We start from the raw sequence: 26711 nt of genomic DNA on the forward strand, positions 1-26711 counted from the left end.
GACCGCAGCCCCTTCAGGACCCAGTTCCAGGGAATCACCCCCAACCCAGACCACCTGCTCCTCCTTCTCTTGGCCTCTGGGCCCTGCATCAGGAGCACCCTGCCAGAGCACTGCTCCTCTTGGACACTCATTCTAGTCCATTTTCCCAGACTTCCTCTTGTAGGAATTCTGGCCTTCCCACAGCTGGGCTAGGACTCTTGAAACCATGCCCCAGCTCTCCCAGCCCCTCCCATGCTCTTATTTTTTCCTGTTGCTGGCCCCATGCGCCCTTCTCCTTGAATCGGTGTCTTTTCCTATAAGGGGGTTTTCTACTCCATGTTTTTCCCTAAGTTTACCACCCCCTTCCTGCAGCTGCTCCCCCGCCTGGACCTGGTTTGCCTTTTCAACAGGTGCTTTTAAGTCATGAGATGCTGTAGTCTCAAAATCAAGCCTGCATCAGAATCATTCTAGTTGCTTATCAGTGTGTTGAATCCCAAGCCACACCCCCACCCCCAAGAGGTCTGAGGAGACGAAGGTGAGCCTGGGAATTGGCATGTTTAATAAATACACTCCAGCACCCACCCACCTGCTGGCAGTCACAGGCAGGTGGTCCAAGGGTCCTCTTGGAGAATACCATGCAGCAGCCACTCCAGTGGGAAGCCCGAAGCCTCCTTTCTGCCATGGTCTGGCACATGGAGGTTTACTGAATACTTGATGAGTGAACGGATGACAGATAGGAGAAGATGAGGATGACATGTGGAAGTGTTCTGGCCACTCAGGAGATAAAGGAACAAGATTCAAGTCGTTAGAAGCCCCTCACTGAAAACCCTAATAAGGAGAGGCACAAGCTTTCAGATTAAGTAATAATCATTTATAGTCATTTAATCTAGTAATAATTAGAATAATCTACTATGTGTTAGATTTTAAAAGTTTTCAGTGGCAGCCCAGTGACCAATCCAGCCTGGCAGACGTTTTGTTTAGCCAACAGTGCTTTGACAAGGTCTGATCCGACATTTTAAACTTGGGAGATTTCACAGAAATCCAGACTTTTTGCCTGTCTTGGGAAAGTTAGGAGTCCTGCAATAATGGACCTGCATTTCACTTGTAGCAGTTATTGGTTGGAGCTGCCATCACTGCATGCTTAGGATGCAGTAAGCTGCATCCAGTTTGCCGCAGTCCCCAGCACCCCCACCAAGTGTGGACGTGGGCACCCACAGCTGGTATTACAGGACCTGGGGACCCAGCTGGCTCCTGGAGGGGGTCTGTGACTTCAGATATATGAACACCGATCCTGGGGGTAATTTTTGTCCCATCTATTTTTCTAACTTAACAGAATTATCTCCATCTTACAAGAAAAAGGGTCAGAGGGGTGTCATGAACCCAATAGCTACTGGACTGAGATTCAAGCCCAGGCCTGCCTGGAAACCTGGGCTTTTTAATTCTCAGCCAGACTGTCTGTCTCACTGCCTCACTTCCCACCCTTTCATCCAGAACAGCTCTCCCTCAAAGTGTCCCCTGCATGCTTTGCCTGAAGTACACTGTGACTTCTTTGTTATGTCACAGCTTAGTCACAGTTGGGCTGAGAGCAGAGCATGGCCCAGCCTGCCAGGTCCCATGGGGCAGCCCTGCCAGCCCAGCCCAGGCTGGCCCAGCTTAGCCACACATGCGCCATGAAGTACCCTTTGATGCCGCTGGTGAACGACCTCACATTTTCTTTCCTGGTTTTCTGGTTCTGCCTCCCTGTGGGTTTGCTGTTGTTATTGATCATCTGGCTACGCTTCTTACTTAGCCAAGGTGAGCTTCTTACCCCGTCCAGGCAGGACCCTAATCCTGGAGCTAGGCAGGGGGCCAAATAGGCCAGTGTGTCCTGAAACAACTGCAGAAGGGGCTTCCTTCAGTCATTTTAAGTGCTCGCTTAGATACAAGCAGTCAACTCTTAAGTGGAAAGGATTGGTTTGGTTGTTTAGGGTTTCTTAACCTAGAGTTCGAGAGTGAGTCCTAGAGTTTGAACCTAGAGTTCGAGAGTGAGTCCTAGAGTTTGAACCTAGAGTTTGAGAGTGAGTCCTAGAGTTTGAACCTAGAGTTCGAGAGTGATCTTTTGAACAAATCAGAGGTTATCGCTCCAGGCAGATGAACTTCCAGGTGCCCCTTTCAGCTGGGGTGCAAGGCTCTGTGAGCAGAGCGTGGGCTGGATTTCAGCCCCGCTCACCCTCTCAATTGGCTGCTTTTGTGCAGTAAACAGCTTGCACGATGGGATACAGCAGCCTTAGGCATTTTTCAGATACCTGCAGACCACTCACTGTTTCTGCCTAAGCCATGTATCAGAAAGGATCTGGCTGCTTTGGGAGACAGGCTCATGGAAGCCAGCTGACATTCACCCTGACCTCAGCATGCCACCAAGAGGAGCAAGAGGTGGGACGAAGCTGGCTGTGGAGGAAGCTGGGGGTGGCTGGATCAGGATATGGCCTGGCTGTGTGGCAGGAGTGGGACTTCTGCTCCTCTGGCATGTGTCTCCCTGAGCATCCCCTTCAGCAAGAGGTCTCTTCCTGCTGGACACAGTGGCTCACACCTGTAATCCCAGCACTTTGGGAAGCCAAGGTGGCCAGGTTGCTTGAGCCCAGGAGTTTGAGACCAGGCTGGGCAACGTCCCTACAAGGAATACAAAAATTAGCCAGGTGTGGTGGCATGCATCTGTGGTCCCAGCTACTGAGGAGGCTGAGGTGGGAGAATTGCTTGAGCCTGGGAGGTCGAGGCTGCAGTGAGCCGAGATCACACCACTGTATTCCAGCAGACAGAGTGAGACCCTGTGTCAAAAAAAGGCCTCTTCGTGGGGACCACTTGACCTCCTACCTCCTGCTGCTGAGTGCCATGACCTTTGGCAAGCTAGGCAGGGAGGGCGCAGCACATGCCGCCAGCAATGGTCAGATGTTGTTGAGGCAGGGTGAGAAGTCCCTCCCCACACCCCTGCTAGCCCCATGATCTCAAATGTAGGGGCTTATAATTATGTAATTATTGGGAGTTCCTGGCAAGAACTTGGGATGTCCTTTTGTTTCTAGAAAGTGTTTATTTAAAGTATATTCTCCTCATAGTCCTAGGGTAGACCACAGCCCTCCCTGAGGGGCACGGTTTAGGCATTGGGCCCCACAGCTGGTAGGGAGTCAGCCTTGTTTGCATACTGGCGATAAAAGTTGTCTCTCTGGAGTCTGGAAGATATGAGTTCAGATATCATCCTTTTTTTTTTATTTTTATTTTTTGAAACAGAGTCTTACTCTTGTCAGCCAGGCTGGAGTGCAGTGGCACAATCTCGGCTCACTGCAACCTCTGCCTCCTGGCTTCAAGCGATTCTCCTGCCTCAGCCTCCCAAGTAGCGGGGATTACAGGTGCCCGCCATCACACCTGTCTAATTTTTGTATTTTTAGTAGAGATGGGGTTTCACCATGTTAGCCAGGCTGGTCTCGAACTCCTGAGCTCAGGTGATCCACCCGCCTCAGCCTCTCAAAGTGATGGGATTACAGGCATGAGCCACCGCACCCAGCCTCATCCTTGCTTCTTAATAGTTCCTAATAATAGTGAACCTGTTTGGAACACTGACTATATACCAGACCTTGTGCTAAACACTGGACTTGCATAATCTTATGTAATCCTCATAATAACCCTGCTTAATAATACTTAATAATATCACAATTGGGGAAACTGAGGCTAGGAGAGGAGAAGCAACCTGTCCAAGGTCATACATCTGTGAACTACTTAAGAGAGCCAATTGTCTGCCTTCAAATCCTGACTCTGCCACCTACCAGCTGCATGACTGTGGACACCTCTCTGAGCCTTGCTTTTCTCATCTACAAAATGGAGACAACACTAGTACCTGCCCCTTGGGGTTGTGACAGGCTTCAGTGGTCGATGCATATCGGGTACTTACAGGGCAGGGCACACAGTACGCATACACACCTGGCACATCGTAGGTTCCTGTAGGCTGAGAAAATAGTCCAGCCAATGCTGGTTTTGTCAATGTGGGAGGAAATGCAGGTGGTGTGGCTTTGGATGCCTTCTCCAGAGAGGAGACATTTCTCCTACCACCCAGGCCAAGGCCTGCAGCATGAGTCTCCTCCAGCATTCACTCTGCTTGGAGGCCCAACTCCAAAACCATCCACAACCTACCCCACTCCAACCCCTCCGCAGACTTTCTCCTGAGAGGCTGTTTACTGGTGTCATGTGGCGTTTTGAAATAAGTCATTTGTTAATTTTGCAACGAAGAGAAACCGTCCTTAAAGTGAGGTGGGCATTCCTCCCTCAGGTTCTCCGTCTTCTAAAACTCCCAGTATTATTGTGCGTGTTTTGCCCTTGTGCTGGGAACTGACCCAATGTCAGGGTTTGGGGGGCTAAGGGGTCAGGACACCCAGACCTGCAGTTTTCTATTCTGCTGCAGATCCCTTTATTGGAATCAGTTTGCCTGAAATCCAGTTTGAAAAGCAGACAGGAGTAGCTCTGCCGCCTCCTCCCCACCACCCCCCAACACTCCTGCTGGCTCCTCAGGGCAGTTTCAGGCCTCAGAATACAGAGGGTTAAGCGTGGAATACCCGACAGGATGCACTTTCCCAAGTCGAAGGAGGAGCAAATGGGGAGGAAAGGAGAGCTGCCTGATGAAACTGGCACTGAGGCAAAAATGATAATGGGCAGCTCAACTCCTGCAGAAGCTGGTCAGTGGGGACAGTGCTACTGTCTGGCCATGACATGGCCATAAGGTGGAGGAAGCCACACACACCCTTCAAGGGGAAGATGCCCTGCTGCCGGCATTTTCCTTTTGCGATTTGAAAGGAGTTTGCAGAAGGATGAAGGGAAACCTCCAAAGAGATGGGTTTGGGGCTGAAACAGAAGAGTGGCGCAACAACCCCTCATGGTGGGTCTTGGAGCAAGATGTTCAATTCAAAGCTGCCTTTAAATCCTCTGAGTCCAAACACACCCAATGGAACCGTGGAGTGGGGAGGCTGAATTTGCATCCAGTAGCACCACTCCCTGGCTGTGAGCCTGGACAAGTGATTTCACCATCCTCATCTGTAAAGTACAAAAAATACTAGTAATTGACTTCAGGAAGGTGTTAAGAGGATCAGATGAGAAAATGAATGTAACAACACTTTGCACATACTCTATGTTCAAAAAATACTCTCTCTAGTGAAGAACAGTCACTTCACGCTATCCTACTGACTTTTTTTTTTTTTGAGACGGAGTCTCGCTCTGTCACCAGGTTGGAGTGCAGTGGCGCGATCTCGGCTCACTGCAACCTCCGACTCCCTGGTTCAAGCGATTCTCCTGCCTCAACCTCCTGAGCAGCTGGGACTACAGGTGCGCACCACCACGCCCAGCTAATTTTTGTACTTTTAGTAGAGACGGGGTTTCGCCATGTTGGCCAGGATGGTCTCGATCTCTTGATCTCATGGTCACCCGCCTTGGCCTCCCAAAGTGCTGGGATTACAGGCGTGAGCCACTGTGCCCGGCCCCTACTGACTTTTAAGACATACTAACTGCCAACACTGTTGAAGGCCTGTGCTAAGTCCTGTGCTGAGTTTTACATGTCTGCCTTCGGTTAACCCTCATCCTAGAAGATGCTGATATTATGCCCATTGTACAAAAACCTTTGTTACTTCTCTGCAACTAGTGAAACAATGCAAGAGTTTAGTAAGAAAAATAATCTTCCCCATCCCTCTTTTTTTCTCACCCTACCTCCCCAAGATGAGTCTGTTAGCAAACTCATTAACGTGTGCAGGTTTTCAAAACAAATTGGGGAATGGTGCAGCATTTGCTTTTCAAAACAAAAAGATCCTACATTTCTTTTTAATTTGCTTATAATATACCGTAGATATTCTGCAAGTCAGAAGATACAGATATGATGCAAACATTTTAACAGCTTCATGACAAGCCATCAGACGGAGGGTCCGGGTCTCCATGTGGTGTGACTCTCCCACAGCTTAGTCACCCAGATCTCTCGTGATCTGTGGACGTGGACACAGTTTCCAGGTGTTTTATTGTTCGTGTGTGCGTGTTTCATCACAAAACAGGGCTACAGTGGAGATCATTGTGCCTTTGTACTCAGATGTTTGTTAATGAATGAACTAGTGGACTAGTGGCCTGGATGGGTCAATAACTGTGTCTCTTCACTGCCTCTTCCTGGACCATGTCCAGTACAGTATGTCATTTGCTCACCTCTGTGTCCTCCCCTCTAGATACGGCCATTTTCCAAGTCACAGGAGCAGCCTTCTTTCTTGGTCCCTGGTCACCCTTTAAGGCCCTGAAGTCTTCCTGAGGCCTCAAGGCTGGCTCATAGGATTCTGCCTTGGCCCTAGCCTCAGGCAAGGCTGCAGGGATACCCAGGCCTGGCAGGGGACTCCTTCCTGGGTCAGGGGTAGGAGACAGGATGTGACCATCCAAGAGGCCTTGCCTCGTATCTCCACAGATTCAGAGGAAAATGACTCCAGTGTGTGCTTGGATTGGGAGCCCTGGAGCAAAGGCCCAGCTGAGTTTTGCTGGAAGGGGACACTCCACGGCCAAGAGAAGGAGAGGCCCTGCTGGTGAGCCTGCTGTGCCAGGTGAGGCCCTTCCAGGGGCCAGGGGGAGCCTCAAGGCCCACCCAAAGCCTTGGGCAGCTGCTATGTGGGCAAGAGGCTGCCTCCACCATATTAGAGGTATGCTCCCTGGCCATGCTGGATGACGGGTTCTCTCCAGCATGTGAGAGCCTTCTGCTTCATTGTGGGGGAGACCTGGTGTTGCCCTGTTAAAGGGCCAGCCCCCTGTGCCACAAGGAGCCTTTACAAAGGTCCCCTACCCTTTACCCTAGGGCCTCACCCCCCACCACTTTCCTGATGGTCTTTGGCCAGCTGTTCCCTCAGACGTCTGCGTGGGGCACTCCCTCCCCTCTGAGGGCTTGCTCTAATGTCACTTTTTCAGCAGAGTCCCACTGGCCACCCTATTCGATATTGAAGCCCCCACCCTATCCTCCGCATCGTGCTGCTTACCCTGCTCTGCTTTCCTTTCACTGTAGTACTTACCGCCTTCTAACACGTTTGATCGTGGCTGCATCCAAAGCCCCAAAATACTGCCAGACACATGCTAGAGGCTCAATACATGTTTGTGGAAGGATGACATGATATTATTATTATTATTATTACAATGGCTGGTATCCTTGGGGGCTCAATAGGTACCAAGGCCTGTCTGAACCGTTCCCCTTCCACAAGCTTACTTATGAAATCCTATGATGAGGATATGATTCTCACCTCCATTTACAAATGAGGCACACACACATACTCTCATGTGAGGTGTCAGGGCAATCAGATGCTGTACCCAAAGGCCCTTGCACCCATTGAATTCCTAGGAGACCTCAGCCATTCCAGTGGGGTTAGATGCCATCTCTATACCAATGGCCCCAAAATGTGTGTGTCTCATCTAATCTCCTCCCAAGCTTTATTATCTGTCTGCTTGACACCCTCTCATGCCTAGAATAGGAATCTTGATTCCCATTGTCACCCAGCCAAGCAAAACAGCACCCTGATCTTCTGCTAGCTTTTCTTCATCTCCATGAATAGCACCACTGTGGATTGATTCTGTTGCCCGAGTCACGAACCCGGGAGCCAGCCTCTCGCCTCTCTCTCCCAACTCTAATCTCCATCTCTCACGTGTCCGCCTTTCTCTGCCCTACTCTGAAGTTGGTTCATGCAGTGTGTTCACTAGCCCCCGACCCTGTCTGAGTGGAGGGAGGAGGTGGTGAAAAGGAGGGCCCCTCACTTAACCTAAGTTGTAATGATTTTTTAGCCTTTTGGGTCCCACCTTGACCACTGAGGGCCCTTTTCCCAGGAAAACTCCTCCTATGAATGCCCTCAGAGATTTGTGTACGGGGCCAGCTCCACAGGTGTGTAACCTGCAGTCCCACAAGGTCCCAGGCTTGGTTTCATGCTTGGCTATTGCTGTCTTGAAATTCTTAATTTTTGAACAAGGGGCCCCACGTGTTAATTTGCTATTGGGCCCTGCGAATTATGTAGCTTGATCTGTTTTTATATAATTTGTGGCATGAGAAAAGATTTTCGGACGCTGCACAAGAACCCTATCCCATTTATGCATAGCCCTTCCCTTCCCACCCCCATCACTTACCCACCTCTTTCTTTCTTTTTTCCCTTTTTTTTTTTTTTTGAGACGGAGTCTTTCTCTGTTCCCCAGGCTGGAGTGCAGTAGCGCAATCTCAGTTTACTGCAACTTCTTCCTCCCCAGTTCAAGCAATTCTCCTGTCTTATCCTCCCGAGTAGCTGGGATTACAGGCACATGCCATCACGCCCGGCTAATTTTTCTATTTGTAGTAGAGACAAGGTTTCACCATATTGGTCAGGCTGGTCTTGAACTCCTGACCTTAGATGATCCACCTGCCTCGGCTTCCCAAAGTGCTGGGATTACAGGCATGAACCACCACGTCTGGCCTTACCCACCTCTTTTTTCTCATCCCAATGGCATCCCTAGTCCCAACCTTCCTTTTGTTTCTAGTTTGGTTTTCCTGGAGTCAGCAGGGCAGTGGCAATGGCAGAAGTGGATGGGAGAGACTTGCCAGGGAGGCAAGAGGACTTTGGCAACTGTGGTGCCTCCCTGGAACCCCCAACTCATCTCCTCTTCAGACCGACATGTGAAAGCCTCCAGAGGTCCCAGCCCTTCTCCAGCATCACAGATGACCTCCAGCCCTGCAGGGAGCCGCTCAAGTCTGGGAGGGCATGGGAGCAGTGAGCAGGCCCATGGGGAGAAATTGGCCAATTTAATTCAGAGGGGTCTTAAAGCAGGGCTGGGCCGGAGGGTGTGGGTCCATATTAAAGAAGCAAGGGTCTTCCCATACCCGGGGGACCCCTGACAAACCTACCAGGCCTGACCAAGTCATTCATTCAACCAGCGTAGGTCCGAGACTCAGCCCTGGCCCTGATTCAAGCCATCTAGGACCTTCTTGGGAATGCCCAACCCTCTTCCATCTGTTCAATGGGGATGGGGGGCTTGCTCTGAACTTCCATTCTCTGATTTCAAATTCGCTCCTTGATTGGACTTCAGGCTGATCTTAATAACAAATATTTGATAAATAGCTGCAGAGTGTCTACCAAGTGCCTAGTTTGGTAGGAGCAGGAATAGCTATAGGAGTAGCTCAACATTTAGTGAATGCTTACTACACGTCAGGCACTTTTCTATGTGCTTTATACATACGATTGCTGGCCGAGCACGGTGGCTCACACCTGTAATCCCAGTACTTTGGGAGGCCAAAGCGGGTGGATCACTTGAGGTCAGGAATTCGAAACCACCCTGGCCAACATGACAAAAACCCCATCTCTACTAAAAATACAAAAATTAGCCAGGTGTGATGGCTCACGTAGTCCCAGCTACTCGGGAGACTGAGGCACAAGAATCGCTTGAACCAGGGAGGTGAAGGTTGCAGTGAGCTGAGATCGTGCCACTGCACTCCAGCCTGGGCAACAGAATGAGACTCGGTCTCAAAGAAACAAAAACAAAAACAAATACATACGATTGCTTTTAGCCCTTGTAAGAATTCTGCAAGGTAGGTTGGTTACCTCTGTTTTACACATGGGGAAACAGGCACAGAGCAGTTAGTAAGTTGCTCAGAGTCACACTGGGAGAGTTGGCATTTGAACCCAGGTTCCATGACTCCAGAACCAGGTCCCACTCCACTGTGCCAGTTCTTCCCCAGGTGGGGTGCTGGGGGAGGTATGGTGGGAGGCGTAAGTTTCCAGAGGCTGCAGGATGATGGGGGTGGGGGGATAAAGGGACAGGCCCTCCAAGGTACCAACTGGGCATCATCTTTATCCCTTCTTTCTCTCTCACTCCACACCCCACCAGCCACCACGACTTCTAAATGTCCAAGGAGAGAGAATTGAGCCTGAAATCTTAGCTTGTCTCCTGGCCTTTGGTCTCCTGGCCTTGGTCTCTGCTCTTTCTGCCCTGTTGGAGTGATCCACCCAAAGCACAAATTGGGACATGTCCCTTCCTGGCTTCACGTCTTCCATGCTTTCCGTTGTCCGTGGGCTAAAGTCTGAGCTCCTCATCAGGTGCAGAAAGCCACCTTTTGGGATTTGAGCCCCACTGAATTTGCTGGATGAGGTTTCTATTCTTACCCACAGGCTACAATGAACACTCTTGAACCTAAATCCTTGCCCACAAGTGTGCTTCTATCCAGAGAACACATTCTGAAAGGAGAAATTGTTGAATATAAGACATGCATTTACATTTTGCAGAAACTAAGTTGCTCGACCAAAAAGTGGCCCCAAGGGTACATTAGAAGTACCTGTTTCCCCAGTCCTTTGCCCCGCTGTGCAATCCCAACATGCTCTCTTACATACAGACACACACACGCATTATCACACACTCACACACACCCTCATACACACACTCTCATAGACACACACAGACACACACCCTCATACAGACACACATACACACACACACCCTCATACAGACACACATATGCACACAGACACACACCCTCATACAGACACACATACACACACTGTCACACAGACACACCCTCATAGACACACACTGTCACACAGACACACATACACAGACACACACCCTCATACAGACACACACATACACACACACAGACACAAACCCTCACACACACTCATACACTCACATACATATACACTCACACACACCCTCACACATACACACTCATACACTCACACATACATATACACTCACACCCTCACACATACACTCACTACACCCACATCCACATGCATACACACACATATGCTCTCAGACACCCTCACACATACACGCTATCACACACAGACACACACACTCTCATACACTCACACACATGCTCACACATATCCACTGACACAAACACCCTCACACGTACAGGCACACTATCACACACAGACACACACACACACTCATACACTCACATATACACACTGTCACACAGTCACACTCATACCCACACACACATATACACTCACTCATACAGACACACATACACACACCACCTTATACACACAGACACACTATCACACACTCTCACAGACACACATGCACACACGTATTCTCACACATTTAAATATTTTGTTTTCCATCAGGCTGTGGCTTTGAAATGAGAATGAGAAGGAAACCTGGGCTAGACACACATCCATAGACACGCGCACTCACACACACGCACACACACCCACAACCCTCCCTTCTCCACACAAGCCTTGCTCCAGCTGATGAGCTTTTGTCACCACGGGGTTTTCCTGGGAGCTGCAGGGGTGGCGTTGAATGAACCCTGTTGGCAACTCCTCCCTGTGGTGGAAGCTCTGCCTGGCATTGTCTGCATTTTTGCCAGATGCCCCGTTCTGTGGAGTCTCTGTGCATTGCTTACTCGGCCCTGCCCCACTGTGCTGTGAGGGGCTGCTGGGCCATTGTTCAGCCTCCCTTCTGGCCTAGAAAAGCCAGCAGAGCCCCCCAGCCCTCTTGCCCCACCTGCTGAGGAGGCAACCCCGAGGAGAGTGAGTGCAGTGGGCCCTGCACTGGGGTCTGGGGAGAGCATCTGCCATGCCCCTGGAACCTTTGAGGCAGAAGGCAGATGAGGCCGCTCCTCAGGGCCCCGGGCAGGTGACAGCTCTGGAGAACAATTGTGGGGAGTGTGGGGAGACGCCTTCCCTGCTTTGGTGAGGGCTGAGACCCCGGGCCTCTACGGATGTGGACGAGGTCCCCATTCTGGCACACACAGACACACACACGCACACATGCACACTCATACAGAGGAGATGGGCATGTGACTGGTAAACACATCCCATGACACTCTAGTCACAGGCTCCCGAGAGACATCATCCCCACGTAGCAGCCACGGCTGAGTGCCCATGCATTATCCCACTGGATCCTCACAACAGCCCTCTCAGTCGCGTCATGGTTCCATTTTCAGACGAGGAAACTGAGATTCAGAGAGGTTAAGCAACTCGCCCAAAGTCACACAGCCATGAAGTGGCTCATTTTTCTGACTCTTAACTGGGATGTGTGTCTCCAGATCCACGGGGATGCCCCTGGCTCTTCCTAGAGCTGAATGATGGAGCTTAAGGCTGTGCGGTTGATGTTTGTAGGAAACTCAGGTGCACTCGGGACCGCAAACCTGTCTCCCCAGGCTGAGGGGCGCAGGGACCCTGCGAGGACAGTCACCAGCATGACATGGGAGCACCGCAGGGGCATCAGCAAAGCAGGGTGTATCTGACTGTCGGTGCATCTCATTGAAAGCCACACCCCTTGTCACAGCATATCTTCTAGGCACAGGCTTATTTTCTACCCCTAACCCTGGGGCCACAGGCCTGGACTCCCGAGTGCAAGCCCATCACCATCCCATTCAGCCTCAGTGTCATCGTCTGCAAAACGGCCAATCCCCTCTGCATTTGCTTCCAGGAGCTCCCATGACAGAGTGTCACAAGCTGGGTGGTTTAGAACAACAGAAGCGTGTGGGCTCTTACTTCTGGGGGCTAGAAGTCCACAGTTATGGTACTGGCATTGCCAGGCTCCCTCCAAACCCTGCAGAGGAAGGAGCCTTCCTTGCCTTTCACAGGTTCTGGTGGCTCCAATGTGCCTCAGCTTGTGGCAGCATCACCCAGCTGCGGCCTCTGCCCTCACATAGTGTCCCCACTGTGTGTCTTCCCATCATCTTCTTGATATGCACACCTGTGTCGGGGACCGATTTTCCCCTTTCAGAGGGACACCAGTCTTATTGGGTTAGGGCCCACCCTACCAACCACATTTTAACTTGATTATCTCTGTCAAAACCCTATTTCCAAATAAAGTCACTTTCATGCGCGTCCATGTGAAGAGACCACCAAACAGCCTTTGTGTGAGCAACAGGGCTGTTTATTTCACCTGGGTGCAGGTGGGCTGAGTCCGAAAGGAGAGTCAGCAAAGGGAGATGGGGGTGGGGCCGTTTTATAAGATTTGGGTAGGTAAAGGAAAATTACAGTCAAAGGGGGGTTGTTCTCTGGCGGGCAGGAGTGGGGGTCACAAGGTGCTCAGTAGGGGAATTTTTGAGCCAGGATGAGTCAGAAGGAATTTCACAAGATAATGTCATCAGTTAAGGCAGGAACAGGCCATTTTCACTTCTTTTGTGGTGGAATGTCATCAGTTAAGGCAGGAACAGGCCATCTGGATGTGTACATGCAGGTCACAGGGGATATGATGGCTTAGCTTGGGCTCAGAGGCCTGACATTCCTGTCTTCTTATATTAATAAGAAAAATAAAAGGAAATAGTGGTATAGTGTTGGGACGGTGAAAATTTTTGGGGGGTGGTATGGAGAGATAATAATGGGTGATGTTTCTCAGGGCTGCTTCGAGCGGGATTAGGGGCGGCGTGGGAACCTAGAGTGAGAGAGATTAAGCTGAAGAAAGATTTTGTGGTAAGGGGTGATATTGTGGGGTTGTTAGAAGAAACATTTGTCATTTAGAATTATTGATGATGGCCTGAATTGTCATTTAGAATTATTGCATGAATTGAAAAACTAAACGGAATAAGAGAAGGAAAAAAACAGGTATTAAAGGACTAAGAATTGGGAGGACCTAGGACATCTAATTAGAGAGTGCCTAAGGAGGTTCAGTATAGCCTTGCCAGCAAAGATTATTTATTTACTTTAAGAGTTAAGAGTGGCGGTTTGGGGATAGCACCAGGAGATATCAGCTGTGATGGCTTGAAGAAACAGTGTAAACTGGCAGTGTAAACAAGAGCAGGGCATGTATGAGTAGTTGAGAACAGTGAATAGGAGTATGACTAGATAGTAGGGATGACAAGTTTTTTGGGGCACAGTCCAAGTTGGTCTGGTGTCTGGAATGAGACTGGGGCCTAATAAAAAGGAGCGTCCATGCAGAAGCTCAAATGGGCTGTACCCTGTAGCATTCCGAGGACAGGCCTGAATTCTGAGAAGGGAAAGTGGTAAAAGTATTGTCCAGTCCTTTTTAAGTTGGTGGCTGAGCTTGGTGAGGTGTGTTTTTAAGACTATTAGTCCGTTCTACTTTTCCTGAAGACTGAGGACCTTAAGGGATATAAAGGTTTCACTGAATACTAAGAGCCTGAAAAAATGCTTGGCTGATTTGACTAATAAAGGCCGGTCTGCTATCGGACTGTATACAGGTGGGAAGGCCAAACAGAGGAATTATGTCTGACAGAAGGGAAGAAATGACCGCAGTGACCTTCTCAGACCCTGTGGGAAAGGCCTCTACCTATCCAGTGAAAGTGTCTACCTAGACTAAGAGGTATTTTAGTTTTCTGACTTGGGGCAAATCCCTGAGCTTGATGTGTAGGGAAGGGAGGGGGCCTGAATAATCCCTGAGGAGTAGTAGAATAGCAGATGGAACACTGAGAAGTTATTTCCTTGAGGATAGATTTCCACGATGGAAAGGAAATGAGAGGTTCTAAGAGGCGGGCTAGTGGCTTGTACTATAGCATAGCCTGCCTTCGCTGGTGTGTGGCGATTAGGCCTGGTGGAACTGCCATCAATAAACCAAGTATGATCAGGGTGAGAAACAGGGAAGAAGGAAATGTGGGGAAATGGGGTGAACGTCAGGTGGATCAGAGAGATGCAGTCATGAGGGTCAGGTGTGGTATCAGTAATAATGTGGGAGGCCAGATTGAAGTCCGGGCCAGGAACAATGGTAATTGTGGGAGACTCAACAAAGAGTGAGTACAGCTGAAGGAGCCGCGGAGCAGACAGTATATGCGTCAGGTGTGAGGAAGAAAACAGATTTTGGAAATTATGAGAGCTGTAGAGAGTGAGTTGAGCATAGTTTGTATTTTAAGGGCCTCTAAAAGTATTAGGGCGGCAGCAGCCGCTGCACGGAGACGTGATGGCCAGCCTAAAACAGTAAGGTCAAGTTGTTTGGACAAAAGGGCTACAGGGCGCGATCCCGGTCGTTGTGTAAGAATTCTGACTGCACAGCCTTGCACTTCGGCTGTGTGTAATGAAAAGGGCTGGGATAAGTCAGGGAGAGCTAGGGTGGGGGCAGTCTCTAAAGCTGTCTTCAAGGAATGGAAAGAGGTGTGGGGAAAGGATTTAGGATTTATGGAGTCAGCTAGGTTTCCTTTTGTGAGTTTATATAATGGTTTTTTTAGGATGGCAAAACCAGGTATCCAAAGGCGAAAGTATCTAACCATGCCCAGGAAGGAAAGGAGTTGTTGTTTTGTAGAAGGGGTTGGGGTTTGAGAGATCAGTCAGACACGATCGGCAGGGAGAGCACATGTGTTTTTATGAAGAATTATGCTGAGGTAGGTAACGGATGGAGAAGAAATTTGAGCTTTGAAGGGGGATACTTGGTATCCTTTGGAGAATAAATGCTGAAGGAGCAGAAGTGTGTCTTGTTGAGAAGATTCAAAAGAGGGGCAACAAAGAAGAAGCTCATCAATATATTGAATAAGGTGAGAAGCGGAGGGGTGGAAAGAAAGTAAATCATGAGAAAGCTTGGCTGAAGTAATGAGGGCTATCCCTGAAACCTTGCGGCAGCACAGCCCAGGTAAGCTGCTGGGACTGATGGGTGTCAGGGTCAGTCCAGGTGAAAGCAAAGAGAGGCTGGGATGAGGGGTGTAGGGGAATAGTGAAAAAAGCATCTTTAAGATCAAGAACAGAATAGTGAGTTGTGGAGGAAGGTATTGAGAACAAAAGAGTGTACAGGTTGGGCACCACAGGGCGGATAGGCAAAACAATTTGGTTGATAAGGCTCAGATCCTGAACTAATCTGTAAGGCTTGTGTGGTTTTTGGACAGGTAAAATGGGGGAATTGTAAGGAGAGTTTATAGGTTTTAGAAGCCCATGCTGTAGCAGGCGAGTGATAACAGGCTTTAATCCTTTTAAAGCGTGCTGTGGGATGGGATATTGGCGTTGAGCGGGGTAAGGATGATTAGGTTTTAATGGGAGAGTAATGGGCATGTGATTGGTTGCCAGGGAAGGAGTAGAGATGTCCTATACTTGTGGGCTAAGGTGGGGGCATACGAGAGGAAGACACAAAGGAGGCTTTGGGTTGGGGAGAAGGGCAGCAATGAGATGTGGCTGTAGTCCAGGAATAGTCAGGGAAGCAGATAATTTGGTTAAAATATCTCGGCCTAATAAGGGAACTGGGCAGGTGGGGATAACTAAAAAAGAATGCATAAAAGAGTGTTGTCTAAGTTGGCACCAGAGTGGGAGAGTTTTCAGGGGTTTTGAAGCTTGGCCGTCAATAGTTACAGCAGTTATCAGGGCAAGGGAAACAGGCCCTTGAAAAGAAGGTAACGTGGAGTGGGTAGCCCCCGTATCGATTAAACAGGGGATGGACTTACCCTCCACTGTGAGAGTTACCTGAAGCTCGGCGTCCATGATGGTCCGGGGGGCTTCCGAGGCGATCGGGCAGCGTCAATCTTCAGTCGCTAAGCCGAGCAGATCTGAGAAGGAGTCAGTCAGACAGCCTTGGGCTAGAGCTTTAGGGGCTCTAGGAGTGGCTGCCGGGCGAGCTGGGCAGTCTGCCTTCCAGTGGGTCCTTCCACAGATGGGACATGGCTTGGGAGAAATCCTGGGCTGCGGGCATTCCTTGGCCCAGTGGCCGGATTTCTGGCACTTGAAGCAAGATCCTGATGGAGGAAGTCTTGTAGGAATGCTTGACTGCTGCGGCTTAGGTGTGTGCGGCTTAGGCATTTTGAAGTTCTTGTGTGCTGGAGGTGTGGCTGGGTTTTGTCTCACAGCAGAGGCAAGTAATTGTAACTCAGACATGCGTTGCCGTCTGGCTGCTTCCTCTCTATTACTGTACACCTTGAAGGCGAGGTTGATGAATTCCTGTTGTGGGGTTTGAGGGCCAGATTCTAATTTTTGAAGTTTTTTCCTAATGTCAGGAGTGGATTGGGTGATAAAATGCATATTAAGAATAAGGCGGCCTTCTGGCCCCTCTGGGTCTAGGGCGGTAAAGCGTGTAAGGGTCGCTGCCAAGCGGGCCATGACCTGGGCTGGGTTTTCGTCTTTACCTCGGGTAGTTTCTCTAAGTTTGTCAGAATTACCAGCTTTGTAAGCTGCCTTTTTAAGCCCTTCAACTAGGCAGGAAATCATGTAATCTCGCCTAGCTGTACCTGGGGAATCTGCCTGATAGTTCCATTGGGGGTCCTCTCGGGGAACTGCTCTACTGCCTTCCTGGAGGTCAAGTTCATGAAGCCGGCGGTTATCAGCGTGAGATTGGGCTAGAGAAAAAACTCTTTCCCGTTCATCTGGGGAGAGGGTAGAAGTCAGGATGACATTTCAGTCACTCCAGGTTAAACTGTAGGACAGAGTTAGATATTGGAATTCCTGTATATGTTTAGTGGGGTCTGATGAGAAAGAGCCTAAATGCTGGCTGATCTGAGAGAGGTCTGACAGAGAAAAAGGTACATGTACCCTGACTATGCCTTCAGCTCCAGCCATCTCTCTAAGAGGAAATTGTGGGTAGGTGGGGAAGAGCGGAACTAAACTGTAAGCCGGACCGGGTATGAGGAAGGGAGGTGGTAGAAGGATTATAGGGTGGAGGAGTGGAGGCTGAGGAAGAATTGGGACTTAGCTCGGCCTGGCGACGAGCAGCCTGGGGAGGAGGGGAAGAGTCAGATGAATCTGTAGAAAAGGAAGACTGGAAAGACTCAGCGACACTTGGGGTTGGGACTGAGGGGACAGGCGGGAGGGAAAGAAGGAGGATTTGGGAGGAATCGCATTGGGAACAGAGACTAGGGAGGGAACGAAGTGTGAAAAATGTCTGGATGTAAGGCACCTGGGACCATTTGCCTATTTTTCAACAAAAATTATTTAGGTCTTGTAGGATGGAGAAATTGAAAGTGCCATTTTCTGGCCATTTAGAGCTATTGTCAAGTTTGTATCGGGGCCAAGCAGTGTTGCAGAAGAAGATAAGGCATTTAGGTTTTAGGTCAGGTGTGAGTTGAAGAGGTTTTAGGTTTTTAAGAACACAGGCTAAGGGAGAAGAAGGAGGAATGGAGGGTGGAAGTTTGCCTATAGTGAAGGAGGCAAGCCTAGAGAAAAGAGAGAGTAGAGACATGGAGGGAAGGGGTTCGGGGGTTCTTACCTTCCAGAAAAGCGGGAAAGGGGTCAGCGCGCAGAAATAAGGGGTTGGGGCACAGAGACAAGAGGTTGGGGCACAGAAATAAGGGATTGGGGCATGGAAATAAGGGATCGGGGCACAGAGATAAGAGGTCGGGGTATGGAAATAAGGGATCGGGGCACAGAGATAAGAGGTCAGGGCGTGGAAATAAGGGATCGGGGGGTTCTTGCCCCCCAGAAAAGCAAAGAAGGGGTAGAACACGGAGAGAGGGAGTTGGGGGATTCTTGTACCCCAGAAAAGTGGTACTTGCTGCTAAGAGTGAAGGACCAAGGCAGGTGTCCCTGTGTGGTCAGACACCTCTGAAATGTGGGTGAATGATCAGAGAGGCATCCCTGCAATGATTAAACACCAAAGGAAGGCTGCCTTCCCGAGTCCATGACCGGTGCCGGGATTTTGGGTCCATGGATAAAACGTGTCTCCTTTGTCTCTACCAGAAAATGAAAGGAATTGAAATTAAGAGAAGGGAGAGATTGAAGTGTGGTGCCAAGATTGAATGGAGAAAGAGGTTGAGGGATAGTGAGGGAGGTTGGAGAAGAGAGTAAAAACAGGCTGCTTAGCGGATTTAAAATTGGTGAGATGTTCCTTGGGCTGGTGGGTCTGAGGACCCGAGGTCATAGGTGGATCTTTTTCACGGAGCAAAGAGCAGGAGGAAAGGGGATTGATCTCCCAAGGGAGGTCCCCTGATCCTAGTCATGGCACCAAATTTCATGTGCATCCATGTGAAGAGACCACCAAACAGGCTTTGTGTGAGCAACAAGGCTGTTTATTTCACCTGGATGCAGGCAGGCTGAATCCGAAAAGAGAGTCAGCAAAGGGAGATAGGGGTGGGGCCGTTTTATAAGATTTGGGTAGGTAAAGGAAAATTACAGTCAAAGGGGGGTTGTTCTCTGGCGGGCAGGAGTGGGAGTCACAAGGTGCTCAGTAGGGGAGCTTTTGAGCCAGGATGAGCCCGGAGAAGGAATTTCACAAGATAATATCATCAGTTAAGGCAGGAACAGGCCATTTTCACTTCTTTTGTGGTGGAATGTCATCAGTTAAGGCAGGAACCAGCCATCTGGATGTGTACGTGCAGGTCACAGGGGATATGATGGCTAAGCTTGGGCTCAGAGGCCTGACAGTCACATTCAGAGCTACTGGGGCTTAGGCATTCACATGTTTTTCATATGTTTTTGGTAGGACACTTGAACCCATAACACTCTCTTGAGAGTTTATCATGAGGATTGAATGTGGTAATGCATGTAAAGCTGTGATCACAGTGCTTGGCTGGCACTTCATTCCATAAATTACTTTTGAAAGAAAAAATTGGCTGGGCATGGTAGCTCATGCCTGTAATCCCAGCACTTTAGGAAGCGGAGGTGGAAGCATCACTTGAAGCCAGGAGTTTGAGACCAGCCTGGGCAACATAGTGAGACCCCTGTCTCTACAAAACAATAAATAAAAATGGCTGAGTGTGGTGGCACACGCCTAGTAAATCCTAGCTCCATCCAGAGACTGAGGCTGGAGGATCGCTTGAGCCTAGGAGGTCAAGGCTGCAGTGAGCTGTGATCACACCACTGCACACCAGCCTGGGTGATACAGTGAGAGCCAGTCTCAGAAAAGAAAAAGGAAGAAGCTGAGCACCTGGAAATTAGATGCTCTATGTACATTGTGTGCCAGGCCCCATTTAAGTGCTTGATGTGTATTATCCCACCAAATCCTCACAACCACCCCTCAAGCCAGGCAAGGTTTTCATTTAAATGATGTGGAAGCTGTGACTGAGAGAGGTTAAGGCATTTGCCTGAAGTCACACAGCCTAAGTGGCAGAGCTGAGGATCAGCCTGAAGCCTATGAGGCTCCACCTCATCACACTACATAGGACTGTGCTGTAGTGTGGAGTGGGGGCTGCTTGGAGGGGCAGAAAGCCAGGGAGGAAATGCTGAGCACACAGCACACAGGCCCTGGGGGGCTTTCTGGGTCTGAGGGACCTGGAATGAGTCTCTGCGATAGTGAGAGGCCTAGCTGATGGCAGGCTGCCTGGGGAGGTGCTGGCGAGCTGCCAGGGTGCAGGGCCAACAGGTCTGAGCCACTCCACTGTGACCTAACCGGCCTGGCCGATACTGCAGGTGGGGGGCTGGGACAGGGCTCAGCCGGGGGTGAGGAATGTTGCCCTGAGCGTGGGTACACTCACTTCTCCAGGCTTCATTCTGAGTATACGCGCGGCTCTCCCGGAAGCGAAGAGGGCACTTCCTTACAGAGGCTTGAAAGTGTGGTCATCCAAGATTCAGGCCACTCTCTCTTCCTTCCTGCTTTCTTCTGAAAGGTTCCTTGCACCTAAGGAAGGTAACAATGAACTATGTTTTCAGTCTGGACTAGAAGTTCATTTACCCAGGTACTAACTTGTTTACTCACTCAAGCATTTATTCATTCATTCACTCATTTACTCTTCCCCCCATTCACCTAATGGCTCACTGATTCATTCATTCACTCATGCTCTCACATATTCATGCCCACAGCCATTCACTCTTCCACCTACCCATCCACCTACCCATCCATCCATCCATCCATCCATCCATCCATCCACCCATCAAACCAACCATCAACCTCTTATTCAATTGCCTTCCCATTCATCCCTTCTCTCATCCCCCATTTTCCCAACCAATCTTTCATTCTTTCTTCCATCTATCTATGCATCCATCTATCCATCCATCCACCCAACCTTTATTAAGCACCTACCATGTTTCCCACCCAAAACTCCCTATGGCTCCCAAAGTAGTTCTGCACCCACTTCGGCTGACAATTCACCTACATATTGGACCCCAGCTCCTTGGCCTCACAGTGGCATGGTTCCCTTGTCTCCTCCTCAGGAGGAGGCTCAGGAGAAGTGGATGGGTGGTCTTCTGCACAGCCCTGGTCTGCAGGTTCCAGCCAGTGACAGCCACCTGAAACTTGGGGTTTTTCAGGACCCTTTGTGTTGCGAGGCCTTTCCCGTCTTTAATGCCAGAACCATGCATGCTCCTGGGCTCTATGGCTCCCGTGGGGCCCTGTTTTCAGTTTCTTGGGGCCCATTTCTTGCCTCCCTAAGGCCAGAACAGAGCTTCAGACTGTGGGGACCCATAGACTTGGGGGCCCTCCTTGATGAGGACTCTGGGGCCTCTCTTCTTGGAGTACAGGTGAATATGCTTCCTGGAAAGATTCACTGACACCCGGAGGCTTAGAGGAGGGCAGGGCGGGCCCGGGCAATCTGGGGAAGTCTATGGCATTCAGTCCTGGCCAGAGGGCAAGAGAAGGGGCTCATGGTCCAAAATGGATGCAGGGAATAGGACACCGCCAGGGAAGCTGGCAGGAGCGCTTCTCATACGTTCCCCAAATGCCCTACTGCAACACCTTGGCTTGTGTCCTTGTTGGCACCTGGAAACCCCTTCCCACTCCCCACCCTGACACTCAGCCTCTGCTCTCCTCTCAGCTGAGTCCACACTCTCCTGCTCTTTGCTTTCAGACACTCTGGTCGCCTTCCCCCAGGGCCCCTACAGAGCTCCATAAAGATTTGCTAAGTGAATGAATGAGTTCTCATTTTACAGAAGAGGGGGTTAAATTCCCTGGGTTTTCCCCTTACCCAGCCTTTCCCCAGCTAGTTCCTCCTCCTTTACATCCCAGCCAAAAGACCAATCCCGGGAGGCTCTCCGGACGCCCCCTCACTTTGCCACTCCCATTTCCTGCTCCCTTCCTATCCTCCCGCCCCCGTGCCCAGGTCCTGCTCTCTTTACACCCTGACATCTTCCTGCTTGCTTTTTTCCTGTCTCCTGGCAAATGTCACCATCCCCATTTCACAGAGGAGGAAACCGAGGCTCAGAGAAGCCTCAGAGGGAATAGCCCAGCCAGATAAAAACCCCTGGGTCGTGAGCACGTTCTTCCACCCATAGTAGCCAGGTGCTTTATTCATGTGGTTTTACTCTGAAATCGGGATGGCTGTAGGTAATAATAGTGGCCATGCAAATCATATTTCATGACAGTTTTTGAAAGGCGCCGTTTCCACCTCGCAGTTCCAGTGCAGGCGGGTGGGACTCAGTGGTGTGTGTGTGTGCGGCGAGTGCCTGCCTGTAGGTGGCCCCGGCCAAGCCAGCCCCGCCCCAGGAGGAGGCTGAACATTAGTCCTGCATGAGGGTGTCTGGGAACTGGGTGCGCCACGGGGGCCCTACCTCACTCCTCCCTCTCACATTGCCGATCGAGTCAGCCCCACGGCGGCAGCACCACGACCGACCGGGATCCTCGAGGTGCCAGCCCATGGCCGAGCCTGCCCTCCTCCCCGCCGCCCAGATGGAGAGGCTGGCCCCAGGGCCCCTAGCCTCACCGTGTCCTCGGATCCCGCGGGCCCGCATTGCCAGGCGCTGCGCCCAGCGCTGGGCCGACCTGGGCTGCAGGTACAGGGGTCACGGGAGCGGGAGGGAAGTTGGCCCTACTATGCACCAGGGGCATGTGCGGTCTGTCTTCACAACATCCCTGTGAGGCAAGAATCTTCCTCCATCGTACAGATGAGGAAACAGAGGCTTGGAGAGCCCGGTCACCTGGCTGTCAAGTGGTGGAGATGGCTTTTAGCCCTAGTCCATGGGACTCCAAACCCAGAGCCTTCCTGGGACACAGCATTGCCCTGGGTTCAGGCTACTGGCCTCCTGCAGGGGTCACTGATTTTCAGATTCTTAGAGACCGTGAGTGACGCCAGTATGTGCCATTTCCTCTTCCTCTGGGTGTAGAGTCTTAGGGGGCCCAGGGGCTCAAGATTCAGGAGTCTCTGGGTCAAGTTTCTGGGTCAGTGTGGCCGTGTGGTCACCTCGGCTGAGAACTGGTCACCCCTTATTCCTGCTCAGCCTGCCACTGACAGCCAGACCAGAATTTTCAAATAGTCATTTCCCCCACTCTGATTACATCATATTACAATTTGATTATTATAGAAAGTCAAACAGTGCAGGAATACTGTACAGGAATACATATGTTCATTCTTGAAAACTTACTACTGTTAAAGTTTTGACATATACCTTGGGAGAACTTTTTGACATATGTAAACCTAAACTTGTATAGTTTTACACAAATAGGCTCTTGTGTTACATGTGCTTGTAAGGTTTTCCCCTGCAACCCCTCAATTAATGTTATGGACATATTTACATGTCAGTAACATAAAGATCCAATTCATTCACTTTAGTGGCCTGCCAGGATCCAACTTTATGGATATCTTTGGTTAATTTGAATCAGTTCCTGGCTAATGGACATTTAGGTTGGTTCCAATTTTTAACGATTCTAAGCAATACAGCAATGAACATCTCTGGGGACTTGCATGGGTAAAATTCACATCCTAGACTTGTAGTTGCAAGTTTAAAAGGAATGTTAGAATCTGAATAGACCCTGCCCTCCAAAAGTGTTCTAGCTTGGAACACACCTGCAGCAGGAGACCCCCATTGCCCCATTCATTTGCCACCCAAGGACCTGAAGACTAGACGTGGTCTGTACTCAGAAAGCAGATTCAGGGAGCAGGTGATCCTGATCGTAGGACAACTGAGTCCTAGAATTCCCTTAAGGGAACAACTTCTAGGCTCAGGAAAGGGAGGGGGAGCTTAGTGAGACCATTTCATTCATACAGCATGTTCGCTGAGCTCCTATGTGCGTGGGGCTCTGCCCCATCACAGGCAAAAATTACTCAGGATAGGATTTTAATAAGAATCAATTTTAAGAAGCCAAAGACAAGTTTGTTTATCTGTCTATCTATCTATCTATCTATCTATCTATCTATCTATCTATCTATCTATCTATCTATTCTATATCTAATCTATCCATCTATCTATCTATTCTGTATCTAATCTATCTATCCATCTATCTATTCATCTATCTATGTTTCCTATTGCTGCTATAACAAATCACATAAGCTTATCTATCATCTCTCTCTCTGTCTCTCTCTCTCATTTATATTAGTTTTCTATTGCTGCTATAACAAATCACATAAACTTAGTAGCTTAAAACGACACAAATGTGTTATCTGACAGTTCTGAATGCTGGAAATCCCCAAATCGAGGAGTCTGTAGGGGTGCATTCTGTCTGGGGGCTCTAGCAATCTGTTTCCTTGCCTTTTCCAGCTTCTGCAGCTGCCCACATTCCTTGGCTGATGGTCCTCTTCCGTCTTCAAAGGCAGCTCTGTAACATCTTCACACATCTCTCTGACTCTGACCTCCACAGTCATCCCCATGTCTCCTTCTCTGACTCTCCTGCCTCCCTCTTTCATTGATAAGGATCCTTGTGATGACATTGGGCCCACTGGCTAATCCAGGATCGTCCCCCCAACTCAAGATCCTTAGCTTAATCACATATGCAGAGTCCCTTTGCCTGATAACATATATTCACAAATACTGAGGATTAGGATGTGGACATCTTGGGGAGCTGTTATTCAGCTGATCACACCATCTATCCAACCATGCGTCGTCCGTCCATCCATCTATCTACCTATCTACCTACCTATTATGGCTGTTCCCCTGACTCCACCACCACCCTCCCTTAATCTCCTGGTTCCTTGTGATCTTTGAGGCAATTAATATTGAATTCACTATAAGAGCTCGTGACCCATTGAATGTGCTTAATAGCTACTGGTTGAATGAACAGATGAAAAATACTTAAGAGAGTTTAAAATTTGAACCATTCTGTTTATTACTGAAAACAAAACAACAAAAGCAACATTTTTACTTCCAGAACAGTGGTGTTTTTTTTTTTTTTTTGAGATGGAGTCTCACTCCGTTGCCCAGGCTGGAGTACAATGGCACGATCTCGGCTCACTGCAACCTCCGCCTCCCGGGTTCAAGTGATTCTCCTGCCTTAGCCTCTTGAGTAGCTAGGATTACAGGCGTGCGCCACCACGCCTGGCTAATTTTTGTATTTTCAGTAGAGATGGGGTTTCATCATGTTGGTCAGGCTGGTCTCGAACTCCTGAGCTCATGATCCACCCGCCTTAGCCTCCCAAAGTGCTGGGATTACAAGCGTGAGCCAATGCGCCTGGCCCAGAACAGTGGTTTTTAAACCAGGGTTCTGCAAACATTTTATTTGAATTTAATTTTTATTATATCTTTCAAGTATTAAACATCTAGTAAAAATACTACCTCCACTCAGGTATCCCAAATGTTTTTTGTCAACTAAAATTATCTTGATTGTATGATCAGTAAATGCTTTAAATTAAACTTATAAAATCAGCTTATAATAATATCACCGTTACCTCTTTTGTTTATTGAGAAGACATTCCACTGCCAAAGAAAAAAAAAAAAGCGAAAACTACTTCCCTGGAACAAGGTTGGTCTGTTTGCTCCAGGCTAATGTTCTTGTGTATTGGCTCACAAGGTCACTAGGTCAGCTCCCCCAATCCTTTGAGTCTGTTCATCTCACTGGTCCCTTGCTTGTGAGTCATTTAGTTATTCAACAAATTCCAGCAGGACGGCAACCTTCAGGATGTAAGCCCGGATCTGTTCTGTTTACCCACAGCTCTCCAGCACTGGCACAGGGCTGGCTTGTTGTAGGTGTTCATGAAATATTTCCCTGATGAATGAAATGCTCACTGCCTCTACATGAAGTCCTGTGATGGATATGAGGGTGTGGGCATGAATAAGATGCTCTCTCAGCCCTTAAGATGTCCACAGGCTGGTCCAGGAGGAAGACATAACACTGGTCACTACCACATAATACACTAAATGCTGACCTGAAAGGCCTGAGCAGGGATGAATAGAGTCAATGTTGTCATCAAACAGAACATCCCATAATGTGAGGGGGACACCGAATTCACTGTCTATGTGGACTTCATCTTAAAACCATGCAATATTGGCCTTGGGAGGTGCCTCAAAGACCCAGTTGGAGTGAGGTGACTCTGTTGGGATTCCCCTTATCCTTGCTCCCTGTAGAAATATATTTTCTGTTAATTCATGATTGGTATAAAAATGCAAAAAAAGTAGCAAGTGAAATCCACCTGCCCCTCCCACCTCCAACCCACAAGAACAGCAATTGTGAGAAGTTAAGTGTACATCCTATAGGATTTTGTGCTTCATAAATATTTACATACATGTATACGTAAAATGTATCTATGATCCAATCCATGCACATAATTGTACTTACATACGTGAATTGGTTTGTATTATGTATACTATTTTATAAATGACATTTCCATCTTTATAATATCTTTTCCTGGAAAGACATAGAAATCAACATTATTCTTTTTTTTTCTTTTGGAGACAGAGTCTTGCTCTATTGACCAGGCTGAGGCTGGAGTGCAGTGGTGGAATCACTGCAGCCTCAACCTCCCAGGCTCAAGTGATCCTGGGACCACAGGCATGCACCACCACGCCTAGCTATTTTTTTCATTTTTGTAGAGACAGGGTCTCCCTATGTTGCTCAGGCTTGTCTCAAACTCCTGGACTCAAGCAATCCTCCTGCCTCAGCCTCCCAAGTAGGTGGGACTACAGGCATGTGCCACCACACCTGCCCTTACGTTATCCTCTTTAAAGACTGTGTGATGTTTCATTTTATGACTGGACAGTACTTTTGTTAACTAGCCTCCTGTTGATGGAATTTTAGGTTGCTTCTTTTTCTCTTTTGGTTGCTATTATAAACTATACTGCAATGTTCTTGGACATATA

The 26711-nt window shown here is 49.1% G+C and overlaps 2 protein-coding genes across 4 annotated transcripts in view, besides 1 other annotated feature; both read left to right on the forward strand.

The window, feature by feature from the left end:
• The first annotated feature begins 1595 nt into the window (after window positions 1-1595).
• On the forward strand, window positions 1596-8862 carry ADIG (adipogenin). Of its 3 annotated transcripts, none has more exons than NR_172017.1 (3): window positions 1596-1773; window positions 6428-6656; window positions 8500-8862. NR_172017.1 is itself a non-coding variant. In NM_001393816.1 (3 exons), the coding sequence occupies exons 1-2, from the start codon at window positions 1650-1652 to the stop codon at window positions 6544-6546; spliced, it is 243 nt and encodes an 80-aa protein (NP_001380745.1). In that variant the 5' UTR covers window positions 1596-1649; the 3' UTR covers window positions 6547-6560; window positions 8500-8862. The 3 variants fall into 3 exon arrangements, 2 of the variants coding, with proteins under 2 accessions (NP_001380745.1, NP_001380746.1); NM_001393816.1 differs by having other exon boundaries at window positions 6428-6560; NM_001393817.1 differs by having other exon boundaries at window positions 6428-6542.
• Window positions 20789-21330: an enhancer, noted in NCBI's record as "H3K27ac-H3K4me1 hESC enhancer chr20:37229033-37229574 (GRCh37/hg19 assembly coordinates)". NCBI's record gives its function as "activates a minimal SCP1, AML or CMV promoter by ChIP-STARR-seq in naive H9 embryonic stem cells {active_cell/tissue: H9 hESC(naive)}" and the evidence as "EXISTENCE:reporter gene assay evidence [ECO:0000049][PMID:30033119]".
• ARHGAP40 (Rho GTPase activating protein 40) overlaps window positions 22208-26711 on the forward strand; it is a 48845-nt gene continuing 44341 nt past the window's right edge. The window contains exon 1 of the mRNA NM_001164431.3: window positions 22208-22478. Within this exon, the coding sequence (NP_001157903.2) occupies window positions 22342-22478 (137 nt within the window). The 5' untranslated portion in view covers window positions 22208-22341. The remainder of the gene's footprint in view (window positions 22479-26711) is intronic.

The sequence above is a fragment of the Homo sapiens genome, chromosome 20 (assembly GCF_000001405.40).
Source record: "Homo sapiens chromosome 20, GRCh38.p14 Primary Assembly".
NCBI classification, from domain to species: domain Eukaryota; kingdom Metazoa; phylum Chordata; class Mammalia; order Primates; family Hominidae; genus Homo; species Homo sapiens.

Coding starts and splice junctions, on each gene's coding strand:
- ADIG (NM_001393817.1), top strand. CDS start 1,650: ATGAAGTACCCTTTGATGCCGCTGGTGAACGACCTCACATTTTCTTTC. Junction 1,774..6,427: donor ACGCTTCTTACTTAGCCAAG/GTGAGCTTCTTA, acceptor GTATCTCCACAG/ATTCAGAGGAAAATGACTCC. Junction 6,543..8,499: donor GAGAAGGAGAGGCCCTGCTG/GTGAGCCTGCTG, acceptor TTTTGTTTCTAG/TTTGGTTTTCCTGGAGTCAG.